An 18,102-nucleotide genomic window follows, 5' to 3' on the forward strand; every position below is an offset into this window, starting at 1 on the left:
ACAGCCTTTAGTGGCATTGATTTTTTGTGTGTGTGGTTTTCTGTTTTCAGTTTTATTGATTTCTGCTCTTATTTCTTTTCTTCTGCCTATTTTGGGTTTATATTTCTATTTGTAGTTTCTTAGGTAAAAAGCTTGAATCATTGATTTGAGACCTTTCTTTTATCTTAATGCTATAAATTTTCTTTAAGCTTTCCTTTAGCTGCATCCCACACATTTTACACTGGATATTTTATCAATAGACTTTATTTTTTTAGAGAAGTTTTTGGTTCCCAGTAAAATCGAATGAAAGGTACAGAGATGTTTTACATACTCCTTGTCCTAACATCCCACACCAGAGTGGTACATTTGTTATAATCGATGAACTTAACATTGACACATCATTATCATCCAAAGTTCATAGTTCACATTTTGGCTCACTCTTAGTGTTGTACATTCTATGAGTTTTGACAAGTATGATTATGACGTGTGTCCATCATTATAGTATCATACAGAATGGTTCCACTGCCCTAAAAATCTTCCGTGTTTATCCCCCCATTCCCTTAAACCCCAGATAACTCCTGATGCTTTTACATTCACCATGGTTTTGCCTTTTCCACAGTGTCATATAGTTGGAATCATACAGTGTGTTTCCTTTTTTGATTGGCTTCTTTCACTTGGTAATGCTTATTTAAGGTTCCTCCATGTCTTTTCATGGCTTGACAGCTCTTTTTAAAATCTGAGTAATATTTCATTTTCTATATGCAGCACAGTTTATCCATTTACCTACTAAAGGACATCTTGGTTGCTTCCAAGTTCTGGCAGTTATGCATAAAGCTAATGTAAATATCCACGTGCAGGGTTTTTTTGTGGACATATTGTCAACTCATTTGGGTAAATAACCAAAGAGTATGATTGCTGCTTCACATAGTAAGACTAGGTTTAGTTTTGTTATAATATGCCAAACTGTCTTCCAAAGTAGTTGTGCCATTTTGTATTCCCACCAGCAATGAATGAGAGTTCCTGTTGCTGATAGGTTGGATTTTCATCTTTATTCAATTAAAAATATTTTTAAATTTCTCTTGTGACTTACTCATTGTCCTGTGGGGTTACTTTTATCATTTGTTTCCAAATAGGAATTTTTCAGCTATCTTTCTGTTTACTGATTTCTATTTTAATTCTGTTATGGCCATATAACGTGCTTTTTATTATTTTAGTTTTAAAAAATTTATCAGAGTTACCCAAAATATAGTCTATCTTGGTAACATTCCATGTGCAGTTGAAGAAAATGTATATTCTGCTGTGGTTGGGTACAGTATTGTTTACAAGTCAGTTAGATCAACTTGAGTGATAGCGTTGCTCATGTTTTCTGTATCCAGGATATAGAAATGTTGCTCAGGCCTTGTTCTGTCCACTACTGAGAGAGAGGGATATTGAAATTACCAAGTAAAATTGTGGATTTGTCTAGTTTTCCTTTTAGTTCTAGTACAGTTTTGAGTCATTTTGAAGCCTGTTGTTGGATATGTACACATTTAATATTCTTTTTTTTTTTTTTTTTTTTGAGACGGAGTCTCGCTCTGTCGCCCAGGCCGGACTGTGGACTGCAGTGGCGCAATCTCGGCTCACTGCAAGCTCCGCTTCCCGGGTTCACGCCATTCTCCTGCCTCAGCCTCCCGAGTAGCTGGGACTACAGGCGCCCGCCACCGCGCCCGGCTAATTTTTTGTATTTTTAGTAGAGACGGGGTTTCACCTTGTTAGCCAGAATGGTCTCGATCTCCTGACCTCATGATCCACCCGCCTCGGCCTCCCAAAGTGCTGGGATTACAGGCGTGAGCCACCGCGCCCGGCCTTCTTATGTCTTCCTGGTGAATTGACCCTTCTAGCCTCTGTAATGCTCTCTCTTCTGTCCCTGTTAATTCTTATTCTGAAGTCTGCTCTCTGATGTAGACCATTCTGGCTTTATTTTTATTAGTATTTACATAGTACTTTTTGCAGTCTTTTGCATTTAACATATCTATATATTTAAAATGGACTTCTTGCAGATATTGTCTTTTTCATCAAATTTGGCAATCTGTCTTTTAATTGGTAGTTTAAGTGATTTATACTTAATGTAACTATTGATCTTGTATTTAGGTCTACCATCTTACTGTTAGTTTTCTGCTGATGCCCTCTGTATTTTATTTCTGTTTCCCCCTTTCCTGCCTTCTTTCAGATTGATCTGCCAGCTTTTTAACTCTCTTCATTTTTGTTGTTTTATTTTAGTGGTTGCTATAGGATTTACGATATACATGTGTGACCTTTCGCAATCTATCTTGAATTAATATTTACCTTCTTCAAATAAAATGTAGAAGCCTTAAAATATTCAAGCCCTTTTACCTTCCCCACCAACCTTTATGCCATAATGTTTAGTACATCTTCTTATAATGAAAATGTCACCAGACAATGTTAAACTTTTTGCTTGAAAAAGTCATATTTTAGGGCTGGGCCTGGTGGCTCACACCTGTCATCCCAGCACTTTGGGAGGCCAAGGTGGGTGGATCACTTTAGCTCAGAAGTTCGAGACCAGCCTGGGCAACATGGTGAAACCCCATCTCTACAAAAAATATATATATAAATTAGCCAGGCCTGGTGGCATGCGCCTGTAGTCCCACCTGCTTAGGAGGCTGAGGTGGCATGATGGCCTTAGCCCAAGAGGCGGAGGTTGCAGAGAGGCAAGATCATGCCACTGCTTGCGACAGGGCAAGACCCTGTCTCGGGGAAAAAAAAGAAAAAAAAAGTTGGGTTTTAAAGAAAGCGACAGGAGGAAAATAGTCCTATTAACCCAGATGTTAACCTTTCCATTACTCTTCCTTCCTGAAATTACAGGTTTTCTTCGGATATATCCCTTTAGCCTGAAGGACTTACTTTAGCATGTTTTAGAGCAAATCTGGTGGCACAAGGAATTCTCTGAGATATCCTTCATGTGATCATATCTTTACTGGAAAAAGAATCATGAATTGAGAGTTCTTTGTCTCAGCACCTTACTCTTGTCCTAAAACTGTCTTCTGGTCTCCATGGATTCTGACGAGAAATCTGCAGTTACTCAAATTGGTATTCATTTATATCTACTGTATCATTTTTCTCTGGCTGCTTTTAAGATTTTTTTCTTTATCTTTGGTTTCAGAAGTTCGATTGTGCCTACACTTGGTTCACTGAGCTTATTGATTTGTGTAAATTTATGTTTGGAAAGTTTTCAGCTATTATTTTGTTAATTTTTTTTCTTCACTAGTCTCTCCCCTCTTTTTCCACCATTCCAGTTGACAATAAAGTTAGACATCTTGATGTTATTCCACAGATCCCTGTGGCTCTTTTCCTTTTTTCCTTAGTCTTTTTTGTTTCCTCTTTTCTTCCAATTGGAGATTTCTATTCATTTGTCTTGAAGTTCACTAATACTTAATTGTGTCATACATGTTCTGCTATTGAGCTTATCCAGTGAATTTTGTTATCTCACTCAGATAGTATATTTTTCAGTCCTATTATTTTTGTTTGGTTCTTATTTGTAGTTTTTCTGCTGAGAATTTGTCTCTTTCCATTCATCTTAAGTGTGTTTACCTTTACTTTTAAAGTCTTTTTCTAATAATTACAATATCAGGAACATGTTGGGGTTGGCATCTGATTGTCCTTTTCTCTCAAAAATTGATAATGTTTTTCTGGTTGTTTACATGTGAAATTTAAGTTTTGACTGTATACTGGACATTCTAAATGTTGTGTAGGCCCTATATCCTGATAGTCTGTAGGATGCTGATTTTGTTTCTGCCATTGTTTTAGCGGACAGTCATCCCAGTTTTGTTCAGACTGTTCTGTCTTGGTGGTTGTGGGTGGGGTGGATCTAATCTCAGTTTCAATTTTCAAAGCCCTTGCTATGCTGCGTTGGGTCTATCCTTAGCATGTGCAACTTGGAGGTAAGCCCTGCACTTGCATGGATTTATATAGGGAATTAGGGATCCCTTTCTCTAACTTGCTCTTTTCATGGATCAATCTCCAGCTTGCAGTGGCCTCTTTCCCAGGTCTTCTAGTCAGAAAGTGAGGGTTTCTCAATGTTAGCTTAAGCTTGTACTACCTTTACAATCTCAGCCTCCTAATTGGGACCCACCCTCAGGGCAGAACTGTGGGAGAAAAGAAAATAATACAGGGATTCTCTTGGTATTTTTGGCCACTTGAACCTCATTCCTGGTTCTTCCTGCCAGAAAGATAGGAGTTTTAGCTGCTGGCTCTGCCACTGCTGCTAACTCCATGACTGAAGGTTCCAGTTTTGACTTCCTTCCACAATCTGCCTGCTTATTTTACTTTTCATTCTTCAGGTAGTTGCTTATTCAGTGTTGTCCAGAGTTTCTAGTTGTAATCAGTGGAGTTGATTATCCATCTTTAACATATTGAATCTTTGCCTAAATTGACTGACTAATAAATGTTGACTAATTTCTTTATTCAATTTAATACAAAGATTTTGCTGAATAAGGGCATAAAAATAATATGACTTTTAAAAAAACATTTCATTAACTACCTTTTCATTATTGGTTTTCTTTTTATGAAGTCAAAATCAATTATAGCTAGAATGCAAGGTACTTGCTGAGTGTATTGTAAAACATTTAAAAACAATAGTTTTTTTTAACAAAGAATAATCCTTCTTTGATATAGCACTTTTCTGCATGATTTTTTTATCTTGAAGATACTGAGCAATTGCAGTTGCTGTTTTAACTGTACTTTCAAAGCCAATCTTTTCACTATATATTTTTTTTTAGGGCAAAAGAGTTGGTAGTGGTGCACAAAAAACAAGAAGTAAGTATTTTGTGATCTTTAAGTGTATTTGGTTTGCATTTGAAAAATCATAAAAGATCTTCTAAAATCATATAAACCACCCTCTAAATGATTTATTCAAGGCTTTCTTCGTCTTTATAGAACATAGATCCTTGGTGAAGTTTGGTGAAGCCTGTGGACCGCATTTTCAGAATGATGTTTTTTTTAAAACGTTTCCTTTAAAAATCATTAGTCTACCAAGAAAATGAATTATATTAAAATGTAGTTACCAAAATAGTTTTTAATTGTGAAATAGTGATAACTTGCTTTTTATTACACAGAACAGATTCTAGCAGTGAATCTAATTGCCACTTCATTTTGAATTGATAAGCGTAAACAATGCTTTGAGATATCTGCTCAAGCAGTTCATAACTGATGAAAATATGTGCAGTTTCTATTAGCATCAAAGTCGCAGGTACTGCGAATAGTGTGATTTGTTACATTTATAATTGAAGGAAATGCTAAATTTCAGTTTGAGGTTAGTGAAGACAATAGTGTAGTTTTTCTCCTGTTCTAATTTATGACCTTCCTGAATCCTGTTAATTTGAGGGTTCCATTTAGTTTAAGAATCTCAGAATATAGGAGAGAGCTTCTGTTATTTTTGGAAATGAGGTGATAATGGAAGTACCTCATCTGAGGCTTAAAACTTTAAAGTGGATACATAGTTTTTTGTTTGGAGGGTTTTGTTTTGCCACAGTAGTTTTATTAAAAAAAAAAAAGAATCCTGAATTTGCAAGTATCTAATATGTTTTCTATGTTCTCAAGCAGGAAGACTCAAAAAGCCTTTTGTAAAGGTGGAAGATATGAGCCAGTAAGTATTTAAGTCCAATCTGTATGATTTAAGTGCAATACTAAAGAGGAAAATCACCTAACTAATTAGGCTAGCTCGATTAGTACTGTTAGGTTCCTTTGTGTTTGATTTATATTATACTAATGTGCATGCGGCACAAGTTAACGAAAGTAGCATTAATTCATTTGTGCTCAAGGACTGAATTTAGTTTCAGTATGTTGTAGATATTCCTGAAATAGCTGGTTTAGAAAAATCATGACACCGTTTTTTTAGTATTTAAATTATTCTCTGGCTAAATGCAGTACCAAATGATTTAGAACTACTGAAAGATTACGCCTTCATTTGCGAAAAAGAAATTATTAGATGCTATTTAGAAACAGAAAATCTAAGTATAACATCTAACATGGTTGATTTCCAAAATTCTGAAGTATTGTAGGATAGTCTTGTTGTTGTTGTTGTTTGTTTTGATTTTTTGAGATGGAGTCTTGCTCTGTCACCCAGGCTAGAGTGCAGTGGCACGATCTCGGCTCACTGCAACGTCCACCCCACCCCCGGTTCAAGCAATTCTCCTGCCTCAGCCTCCCAAGTAGCTGGGATTATGGGTCTACGCCACCATGCCCAGCTGATGTTTGTATTTTTAGTAGAGATGGGGTTTCACCATGTTGGCCAGGCTAGTCTCTAACTCTTGACCTCAAGTGATCCGCCTGCCTCAGCCTCCCAAAGTGCGGGGATTACAGGCGTGAGCCACTGTGCCCAGCCATGTGGGATAATCTTAATGAAGACCACAGATATAAATAGGCCTGCCATGAGAGAATTAGATTACTTTCTTTTTTCTTTCCACTTATTCATTTAGACATCTGTGGTTAATTCTCTTGGGTACTCACACTGAGGCGACAAAAGTGTATTGAAAACTGCTTTTTATGAAATGTGTTGCTGTGAAGAAAAAAGTGCAATTCAAAAGGAGGCCTAGAAAAGACACTAGTATACGAAAGGACATCCCATGTTCATGAATTGGAAGATATAATATTGTTAAGATGTTAATACCACCCAAAGTGATCTACAGATTCACTGCAATCCCTATCAAAATCCCAATGATGTTTTTTGCAGAAATAGTAAAAACGTATCCTAGAATTCATACGGAATTGTAACAGATGCAGGAAACCCAAGACAATCATTAAAAATAACAACAAAGGCCAGGCGCGGTGGCTCACTCCTGTAATCCTAGCACTTTGGGAGGCCGAGGCAGGCAGATCACGAGTTCAGGAGATGGAGACCATCCTGGCTAATACGGTGAAACCCTGTCTCTACTAAAAATATAAAAAATTAGCCGGGCCTGGTGGCGGGCACCTGTAGTCCCAGCTACTCAGGAGGCTGAGGCAGGAGAATGGCGTGAACCCGGGAGGCAGAGCTTGCAGTGAGCCGAGATCACGCCACTACACTTCAGCCTGGGGGACAGAGCAAGACTCCGTCTCAAAAAAAAAAAAAAAAAAGAACAACAAAGTAAGAGGTCTCACACTTTCTGGTTTTAAAACTTACTGTAATGCTACAGAAATCAGAACAATTTGGCATTGGAATAAAGACATATAAACGAATGGAATAGAATAGAGAGCCTAGAAATAAACCATCACACATATGGCCAAATGATTTTCAACAAGGGTATGAAGATAATTTAATGGAGAAAGGACAGTCTTTTTTAACAGTGTTGAGAAAACTAGATATACACATGCAAAAGAATGGCATTAGACTCCTACCTCACATCATGTTCAAAAATTAACTCAAAATGGACCAAAGACCTAAAATGGTAAAACTCTTGGAGAGAACACAGGGGAAAAGCTTCATGACATTGGATTTGCAGTGCTTTCCTGGACGTGACACCAAAAACACAGATTACAAAAGATAAAATAATTAAATTGGACCATATCAAAAATATAAATTTCTGTGCCTAAAGGGATATAACAGTAAAAAGGCAACCGAAAGGATGGAAGAAGATACTGCAAGTCATGTATCTATTTCTTTTTTTCAGCTTTCTCAGGTTGAACAAGTCATATATCTAATAAATGTTAATATCCAGAATATATTAAGAATTACAAGTCAACAACAAAACAACCCAATTTTAAAAAGGGGCAAAGCGCTGAATAGACATTTTTCCAGAGGTGATACACAAATAGCCAATAAGCATATGAAAAGATGCTCAACATTACTAATCATGAGGGAATTGCAAATCTAAACCACAGTGAGATACCACTTTACATTATTTAGGATGGCTACTATTAAGCAGCCAAAAAGTGAAAGTAATCCAAGTCCATCAGCAAATTAATGGATAAACAGTATGCAGGATGTGTGTGTACACACACTCAATGGAATATTACTCAGCCTTTAAAAGGAATGAAATTCTGACACGTGCAACATGGATAAACCTTTAAGACGTTATGCTAAGTGAAATAAGACAAAAAATACTGCATGATTCCACTCCTGAAGCATCTACGTTAGTCAAACTGATAACAAGAAGTAGAATGGTGGTTGTCAGGGGATATGGAGAAAGGATATTTGGGAAGTTACTGTTTGATGGGTATAGAGTTTCAGTTTTTGCAAGATGAAAATACGTCATCTTACAAAAGATGGACGGTAGCAGTGATGGTACCACAGCATTGTGAATACTTAATGCAACTGAATTGTACACTTAAAATGGTTAAGGTAATAAATTTTATGTGTATTTTACCACAATTTAAAAAATGTTTAAATGTTAAAAATTGTTAGGCCTGAAATTGATTTTTTGAAGGAAAGCCTAAATAATTTGTTATTTCAGATTCCAGCTTAATTATATGATTTTGAAATACAAAACTTTAAACCTTTTTTCTTTAATCATAAAGAATCTCATGTATTTGTCTTTTTATTCTTCTAGACTTTATAGGCCATTTTATCTTCAGCTGACCAATATGCCTTTTATAAATTATTCTATTCAGAAGCCCTGCAGTCCATTTGATGTAGACAAGCCATCTAGTATGCAAAAGCAAACTCAGGTTAAACTAAGGTTGGTTTGAATCTTTACTTTTAGAAGGAATATTCAGAATTTCATCTCAATTTTTCTTTGTAAAGATTTGAAATAGTTTCATTTATGCCATAATGGTTATTTGTGTTTGTAATTACTATTCTGATTACTTTTATAAGTCTGAATCTGTTTAGATGGAGGTGGGGAGGGCCTTAAAATATTTGTGAATAATGAAAATGTGTAGTTTATCTTGAATGATCTGAAATATTCTCCAGAATATTCATTAAATCTTTAGTTTGCTTCTCAATATAGTATAAAGAAATATGATTAAAAGTACTTGCTGATACAAGTCTCTGCAAATTATGCAGATTGTGTGTGATAGTTTAGGACAATAAATTTTTAAAGTTATTCCTTAGGTTCAGCAGTTAATTCTTTACCATGTATGTCTGTCATCAGAATCCAAACAGATGGCGATAAGTATGGTGGAACCTCAATTCAACTCCAGTTGAAAGAGAAGAAGAAAAAAGGATATTGTGAATGTTGCTTGCAGAAATATGAAGATCTAGAAACTGTAAATGTGATTTTATATTTTGGGGGCTTGTTTCGAAAACTGTAATACTTGTGTTTTAAATTTTAGCTTGTTATTCTGATGCAGATATTTTACATTTTAAGAACTCAAGGGAGGAAATGAGTATTGAAAATGAATTTTTATTCAGCAAATACTGAGCGTCTACTACATACTGATCACTACTCTGGGCAAACAGCATTGAACAAAACAGACTTAATTTTTTACCGTTGTGAAGATTATATTCTGTAGGGTAGGGGTGGGATAGGGGTGGAGATAGGTAACCACAGGATAAAAGAAGAATAAAAATATAGAGAGAGAATATTAGATCAGTGCTATGAAAAAATAGAACATAGGAATGGGGATGTTGCTATTTAGCCTAGACAAGGAACACATAACTGATAAGGTGACATTTGAGTAGAGACCTGAGAGAAATGAAGTAATGAGACCTGGATATTGAGATAAGTAAGTGCAAAGGTCCCAATTTAAAATGATTGATGGGACCAAGGAATAGATATTGATAGTCCAGACTAAGTGGTAGTAGAAGTGCTGAAACATGGTCAGATTGTGGATTTGTTTTAAAGGTGGGACCAAGAGGATTTGCCAATGGATTGGATGTTGCAAGTGAGGGAAAATGGTAGTCAAGGGTTACTATAGTATTTTGAACCTTAGCAATTAAAAAGTGGGCTTATTATTTATAATGGGAAGAGAAGAGTTGAAAGAAGTAAAGACCATTGAGGTAGCAGAAAGAAATGGGAGAGTTGCAAAGGGTATATAGGATGAAAATGGGGGAACTATTATAGTTTGTAAACTGATGAGCAAGAGCTATGGATTCAGGCTGCCAGGTTTGAATCCTGGCTCCCTGGCTGTGTGAGCTTGGACAGTGTTTGGCACATAGTAAGTGCTTATTGTTAGCTGTTATTTGAATAATTTTTTACGTAATAGATAGGTTTGTTTTGGTGTTTGGTTCGGTTTTGGTAGAAGATGGTGGGAAAGTTAAGGGGAAAGAATAATACTGGAACATATCTGTCTTCAGACTCTGAATTGAAGTTTGTTTTATAAACCAAAATATATTAGTGTTTTGTGTCAGTTTTTTTGTTTTTATGTAATAAACAAGAAAACTATGATTAGTCTAAAATTGCTTTTAATCAGAAGCTAAAGTATCTCAGAAATATTTCCCCTTCCTGAAAATAATTTTGAAAATTAAAATTACAGATTGGTCCTGAAGTTTTACTTTGCTGGTGTAGCAACAAAATAATCTGGAATGGATGCTTAATTTGGTTCTCAGAAAATGTCGAGGCTAAAAAATGAAAAAATTGTTCAGTGGTTGCCACAAAGAAGAAAATTAGTGAAAGCAGATGTTGAGATTAGAGGTTGGGATTGAAATTTAAGGTCATGTTTTTACAGTTTTCATTTATATGTTTCTTAGTTGCTAAGAGTAAAGACATTTTTTTTTTGAATGTTAGGTTTCATAATGATTCAATTCCACTTGTATCAAGGGATTAATTAACACATATTTTTGAGTACTGGGGAGAAAGCAACAGATAAGGCGGACATCCCTACCCTTATGCACCTTATGGTCTGGCAGTGTAGATAGATAGAAAATATGTATTTGCAAGTGTGATGAGTTTCACAAAAGTAAAGTATGAAGTGCAATGGGAATAAATAATGAGGTTATTTAACCTAGAATGAGGGTCTCAAAAGGCCCAACTGAACACAGGTGACGCTTTAAATTAAGACTTATAAGGATGAGTAAGAAGAACTTAATGGAAATTAGAGGGGAACTAAATAAAAGTTGGAAATTTTTCCTTCCCAGAACATTAACAGAGTGAATCTGAGCTTACAAGATTTGATGCTTCCTTTTAAATTTTGATAATTCTTATTTTTATTACTGGGCATATATAATTTGTATATGGTAAAGTTTGCAAGTAATGAAGGAATACATGTATATTACAGGATGCTAGTTTTTAGAAATGTAATAAAATCATCAAAATGTAAAATTGCATGAAACTAGGGAAATAGAAATTAGGTTCTTTAATGGTCATCTAGAGGAAGCTTCTAAGTACAATTCCCTCCCTGATCAGCTGACAGACAAATAATAAAGTTAGGCTGGAGATTCCACCTATTCACAAGGAACTTTGTTTCCTGTGAATTTTATCTCACTTTGTTGTGAACTTGTTTACTTTTGGTTTTGACCACTCTTTTTGTTTTGTTTTTTGTTTTTATTTGAGATGGAGTCTCGCTCTGTCACCCAGGCTGGAGTGCAGTGGTGCAATCTCAGCTCACTGTAACCTCCATCTCCCGAGTTCCAGAGATTCTACTGCCTCAGCCTCTCTGGTAGTTGGGACTACAGGCATGCGCCACCACGCCTGGCTAATTGTACTTTTAGTAGAGACGGGATTTCACCGTGTTGGCCAGGAGGTCTCGAACTCCTGACCTCAGGTGATCCGCCCTCCTTGGCTCCCCAAAGTGCTAGGACTACAGGCGTAAGCCACTGCGCCCAGTGGTTTTGACTGCTCTTAAGAATGAGAATAACTTCTGTATACTCTGTTATGAGCACTGGGTAATTGAGATCATTTGTTTTGGTCATTCCCAAATGTGTTCTTCAATTACGAATCTTGGCTTTTTTAGTACTTCACAGCATTTAATGTGGTTCATGTGTTTAATCTACTTTCTGGATTCTTTTATGTTAACTTATATTTCATTCATTTATTATTCTATAAGCTCTGCCTTATTTAGTGATAATTGCATGAAGACAAAGTAATAGAGGGAAATGTGTTTTCCAAAATGTTACTGTTGTCTCTCTCTCTGTATCCCTTTTTTTTTTTTTTTTTTTTTTTGAGACGAAGTCTTGCTCTGTTGCCCAGGCTTGAGTACAGTGGTGCCATCTCTGCTCACTGCACCCTCCACCTCCTGGGTTCAAGTGATTCTTCTGCCTCAGCCTCCCAAGTATCTGGGACTACAGGCATGTGCCACCAGGCCCAGCCGATTTTTTGTATTTTTAGTAGAGATAGGGTTTCACCATGTTGGCCAAGCTGGTCTCAAACTCCTGACCTCGGGTGATCCGCCCACCTCGGCCTCCCAGAGTGCTGGGATTACAGGCATGAGCCACTGCGCCTGATCTGTGTCTTCGTTTTCTGACACAGCTCATTCTTTTCAGTTCCATTGTAACTACAAATTAGTACTTGTCTTTTCTCACTGAAGACTAAAAACCAAAGTAGTTTTACTGGCTTCTCAAAAGTGACTTTTATTTTATTTTATTTTAAACGTCTTTTGAAGTCTAGTAAAGGGTATTATCTTTGGAGTAGTTATTGGAAACCTAATTTTAGGGGCATGAGAATGTTAGAAAACCTTAATTAAAAAGGCATCTCTTGATTTTAAATACAATTTTTTGATACATGTTTTTAATTTTGTTTTAGCACCTTCTAAGTGAGCAACACAGAAACTTTGCACAGAGTAACCAGTATCAAGTTGTTGATGATATTGTATCTAAGTTAGTTTTTGACTTTGTGGAATATGAAAAGGACACACCTAAAAAGAAAAGGTAATTAGTTTTATCAACCTAAGTTTTAAATTCTACTAGGCGGCCAGGGGTGGTGGCTCATGCCTGTAATCCCAGCACTTTGGGAGGCTGAGGCAGTTGGATCACTTGAGGTCAGGAGTTCGAGACCAGCCTAGCCAACATGGCAAAACCCCATCTCTACTAAAAAAATAAAAAATTAGCCGGGTGTGGTGGTTGCACACCTGTAATCCCAGCTACTCGGGAGGCTGAGGCAGAAGAATCACTTGAAACCCAGGAGGCAGAGGTTGCAGTGAGCCAAGATTGCACCACTGCACTCCAGCCTGGGTGACAGTGAGACTCCGTCTCAAAAATAAATAAATAAATTATACTAGAATATTAAACTATTAAACTAAAAATAAACACAGTTTTCCTGTTCTTAGAAGGAATATGTATTTTCGGGATGTAAATATGGTTAAAAACCAGTAGCTTCTTCCCTACTATCAAAGATCCTTACCTTAGACTACTTTTAGTTCCATTCTTTTTAAATTTTCTTTTTATGTAAAACTTTTCCTTTTTTAAATTTTTTGTTTTATTTTGAGACAGTCTCGCCCTATCACCCAGGCCGGAGTGCAGTTGCATAATCTTGGCTCACTGCAACCTCTGCCTCCCAGGTACAAAAGATTCTCATGCCTCAGCCTCCTGAGTAGTTGGGATTACAGGCGTGTGCCACTACACCCCACTAATTAGTCTCATTCTTGACACTGTAGTTTAGAAGGAGTTGGCTGACTTTTCCTGTAAAGAGCCAGATAGTTGATATTTTAGGTTTTGTGAGCCGTAAGATCTCTGTTGCAACTAATTAGCTTAGCTTTTTTGTACAATGGATATGACTGTATTTTGACGCAATTTTATTTGGAAAAATAGACTGACGGCTAGATTTTGCCCACAGGCTATATAGTGTATCAGCTCCTGTTGTAGAACCATAAAGTTTACCATTTACTCAGACTAAAACATTTTATTGAACTTTTAGGTAATATTAAGGAGTTTTAAGAAAACTTCCTCCACTTGCCCCTTAGGTCTTTATATTTCACTAAATATCTTTGCCTAAACCTTATGATGGGTATGTTTACTAAAGGTACTGACAGGACTTTTAAGTGTGAATACAGTACTGCTCAATGTACACCAACTGCACATTGACAAAAATTGTCCTGATTAGATTATTCCTATAAACTTAAAGGGATGGTTTCATATGGATATACCCTAGAGGTGGTGATAACTCATTAAGTTAGTCTTTATTCTTAGACTAATCTTACTTAAGACATAAAGAAGATTAGAAATGTGATAACAAGATACAGCTTCTGAAAATTAACCAGAAAGTTTTTTTACTTCAGGTAAAACAGTTCTTAAATTCCATATTTCTGTGACATTCAGAATGGTTTCATGACTGACTTAATATGGATTTGAAGAGAAGGCATATTTCCAACTATTAAAACTATGTGGGCTACTGTGCCCAGGCAGGGTGTCTCACACCTGTGGTCCCAGCACTTCGAAAGGCCGAGGCGGGCAGATCACTTGAGGCCAGGAGTTCCAGACCAGCCTAGCCAACGTGGTGAAAGCCCATCTCCACTGAAAAAAAAAAAAAATTAGGTGGTGGCACATGCCTGTAGTCCCAACTACTTAGGAGGCTGAGGCGCAAGAATCACTTGAACCCGAGAAGCAGAGGTTGCAGTGAGCTGAGATCAGGCCACTGCACTCCAGCCTGGTTGACAGAGAGACTCTGTCTCAAAAAAAAACAAAAAACAAAAAAACTATGTGGGCTACTCTAAGAACTTATAATTCCCTAAAAACTCAGTCTGCAGCAAAATTCTGAGCTAGTACTGGTTGTTCCTTAATTGTCACTTCTGTGGGCAAGTGTCCTAAACATCTTGGACTTAAAAGCCATGTTAGAGTAGTTTTTTTTTTTTTTTTTACATTTTTTTATTGCCCATTTGTTCAAAGAGAATTGTTTGTAAGTAAATGTATGAACAAGATAAAAAAGAACATTCTGGTTGAAGGGGCAGGAAAAATTGTATTATTTCTCACAGTTAATCTGTGACATGCGGAACACAAAATGTAATTGGTGAGCTATTAACTTTTTCTCTAATTGTATATTATTTAGGTTTGTCTAATACAAACTGGAATTTCAGGGATATCAAGATGCTCCATGAAGAAAATAATTTTAGGTCAAATATGTTTGAAGCTTAAAAGTTACAACTTTGTCACCTTTGAAAGTATAAAGATACTAAGTTTCTAGCTCACTTTGATATTAAATATTCTTAAATGTAAATTTAAAATATATGTTTTTGCCATAGGTTTCTCAGTAAATACTTATTCTCCACATTGCTAAGTAAAATGAAGAGTAAAATGTGCATTAATGTAAATCAAAGCACAGAAGTTAAGAAATTGTTCAGAATAATGAAAGCAAAATTAGGGGCAGGCTCAAATCCCTTTACTATCAATTTCTTTCATTTACATGATTAAAGTAATTTTAAATGTCAAAATTCAGGATATTGGTTATCTGGGAGGGAGGCAGGGAATGTAGAGGAGAAGAGAGGTACACTAGGGTTTTCAGCTATATCTGAAAAGTTGTATTACTTTAAAAACAGCTCAAGTAAATTTGGCAAAATGTTAAGATGTTTGTATTTTTGTAAAATTTCCTAAGTTAAATAGGTTTCTTAAAGATTATATAATGTTTTTACTAATTTAATTTCTAACTACTCAGGAATTTGTTTTGATAGCAATTATTTTAATATTTTTCTTCTATTTTTCCTACAAAGAATAAAATACAGTGTTGGATCCCTTTCTCCTGTTTCTGCAAGTGTCCTGAAAAAGACTGAACAAAAGGAAAAAGTGGAATTGCAACATATTTCTCAGAAAGATTGCCAGGAAGATGATACAACAGTGAAGGAGCAGAATTTCCTGTATAAAGAGACCCAGGAAACTGAAAAAAAGCTCCTGTTTATTTCAGAGCCCATCCCCCACCCTTCAAATGAATTGAGAGGGCTTAATGAGAAAATGAGTAATAAATGTTCCATGTTAAGTACAGCTGAAGATGACATAAGACAGAATTTTACACAGCTACCTCTACATAAAAACAAACAGGAATGCATTCTTGACATTTCCGAACACACATTAAGTGAAAATGACTTAGAAGAACTAAGGGTAGATCACTATAAATGTAACATACAGGCATCTGTACATGTTTCTGATTTCAGTACAGATAATAGTGGATCTCAACCAAAACAGAAGTCAGATACTGTGCTTTTTCCAGCAAAGGATCTCAAGGAAAAGGACCTTCATTCAATATTTACTCATGATTCTGGTCTGATAACAATAAACAGTTCACAAGAGCACCTAACTGTTCAGGCAAAGGCTCCATTCCATACTCCTCCTGAGGAACCCAATGAATGTGACTTCAAGAATATGGATAGTTTACCTTCTGGTAAAATACATCGAAAAGTGAAAATAATATTAGGACGAAATAGAAAAGAAAATCTGGAACCAAATGCTGAATTTGATAAAAGAACTGAATTTATTACACAAGAAGAAAACAGAATTTGTAGTTCACCGGTACAGTCTTTACTAGACTTGTTTCAGACTAGTGAAGAGAAATCAGAATTTTTGGGTTTCACAAGCTACACAGAAAAGAGTGGTATATGCAATGTTTTAGATATTTGGGAAGAGGAAAATTCAGATAATCTGTTAACAGCGTTTTTCTCGTCCCCTTCAACTTCTACATTTACTGGCTTTTAGAATTTAAAAAATGCATACTTTTCAGAAGTGATAAGGATCATATTCTTGAAATTTTTATAAATATGTATGGAAATTCTTAGGATTTTTTTACCAGCTTTGTTTACAGACCCAAATGTAAATATTAAAAATAAATATTTGCAATTTTCTACAGAATTGAATACCTGTTAAAGAAAAATTACAGAATAAACTTGTGACTGGTCTTGTTTTACATTATATATATGTTCGTAATTGTTTCCTGAGAATTACAATGAATAATAATTTGCTTTGTCACTGAAAACCACCAGTGAAGTGCAATTTGGGGAATATCAAACTTAGCATTATACATTTGGATATTCTAGTTGTATTGTAAATTTTAAAAGATTATCAGGATAACATGACCTTGCCTTGAAAAACCTAAATTTCATACAGAAAGGAAAAATACATTTCTATGCTTGAATTCTGGAAATCATCAGAAATATTGACACTTGAGGGTCACTGGTGGACCATGCTAGTATTTTGGTGCTGAGTAATTAGATTATGTATAGGGGTAACTGGAAGCCATGAAGGAAGGACTTAACCAGGCTACCAAGTGGAATATAATTTATCTGCTATTTTTAATTACTTACCTTGTAAATAACTTTAATAATATTCAAAAGTTGACTCTCCTGTGGCTCATGCCACAGGATCCCAGCACTTTGGGAGGCCGAGGCAGGCTGATCACGAGGTCAGAAGATCAAGACCATCCTGGCCAACATGGTGAAACCTTGTCTACTAAAAATACAAAAAATTAGCTGGGCATGGCGGCATGCGCCTGTAGTCCCAGCTACTCCCTCCAGAGGCTGAGAATTGCTTGAACCTGGGAAGTGCAGGTTGCAGTGAGCCAAGATTGTGCCACTGTATTCCAGACTGGGTGACAGAGTGAGACTCCATCTCAAAAAAAAAAAAGTTGACTCTACCCCCTAATTTGGTAGGAGATGAAGGAGAAAAGGATGGCATTGAATTATAGATACAGTTTTGGGATATATACAAGGATTGCCTTGATCTGGCACTTACTGATACAAGCATTTGGAGAAGAGAAAATTCAAATATAAGAAATTTCAATTTGAATCTGTGGATATAAGGCATTTGCCTTTGAGTATGTTCTTGTAGGAGTAAGACTACCACCAGTGACATTCAATTGGTTCTATTGCATAGTACATGAATCTATTGTCACTAAAAATTAGGTTACTAATCTTAATTTTTTTGAAATATATGATTCTCAGTACAGGACTAATTCATATGCTTTTCCTGCATACATTATTTTGATCATTTGGATAACATCAATGAACACTGGCTTTTTAACACCTTTGTTTTTCATACCAGTACCTGAAGTAGGCTCAATAAAAGAGTCTTTACAGTGCATACACGCAAACCCTGTTTCCATTGTAAATTATTGTTCCATTTTCTATCACAAATACATGTATGTATGTGTAAACATACGTAAGGTTTCGTAGACAACCTTTGAAAAATCTAAATGGAACTTGGAAAATTATTTGCAGGTTTATTTCCCTTTAGTTATCAGTGTTCCCCAAATTTTCCAAATAACTGAAAGGTATGTAAAGTCACTGTATGATCCTTTGACTTTAAGAGTAACAGTGTCTGGCTGGGCGCGGTGGCTCACGCCTGTAATCCCAGCACTT

At 36.0% G+C, this 18,102-nt stretch overlaps 1 protein-coding gene across 4 annotated transcripts in view; it reads left to right on the forward strand.

Moving 5' to 3' along the window:
- Positions 1-17,834, forward strand: part of DBF4 (DBF4-CDC7 kinase regulatory subunit) — a 33,061-nt gene extending 15,227 nt beyond the window's left edge. For 2 of the 4 annotated variants that reach the window (NM_006716.4, NM_001318061.2), the window contains exons 7-12: positions 4,755-4,791; positions 5,575-5,620; positions 8,502-8,630; positions 9,045-9,159; positions 12,573-12,697; positions 15,469-17,834. In NM_006716.4, coding sequence (NP_006707.1) covers positions 4,755-4,791; positions 5,575-5,620; positions 8,502-8,630; positions 9,045-9,159; positions 12,573-12,697; positions 15,469-16,444 — 1,428 coding nt within the window. In that variant the 3' untranslated portion in view covers positions 16,445-17,834. The remainder of the gene's footprint in view (positions 1-4,754; positions 4,792-5,574; positions 5,621-8,501; positions 8,631-9,044; positions 9,160-12,572; positions 12,698-15,468) is intronic. The other 2 variants (NM_001318062.2, NM_001318060.2) reach the window with 2 other exon arrangements.
- The last annotated feature ends 268 nt before the right edge of the window (positions 17,835-18,102 follow it).

Source organism: Homo sapiens, chromosome 7, assembly GCF_000001405.40.
Source record: "Homo sapiens chromosome 7, GRCh38.p14 Primary Assembly".
Lineage (NCBI taxonomy): Eukaryota > Metazoa > Chordata > Mammalia > Primates > Hominidae > Homo > Homo sapiens.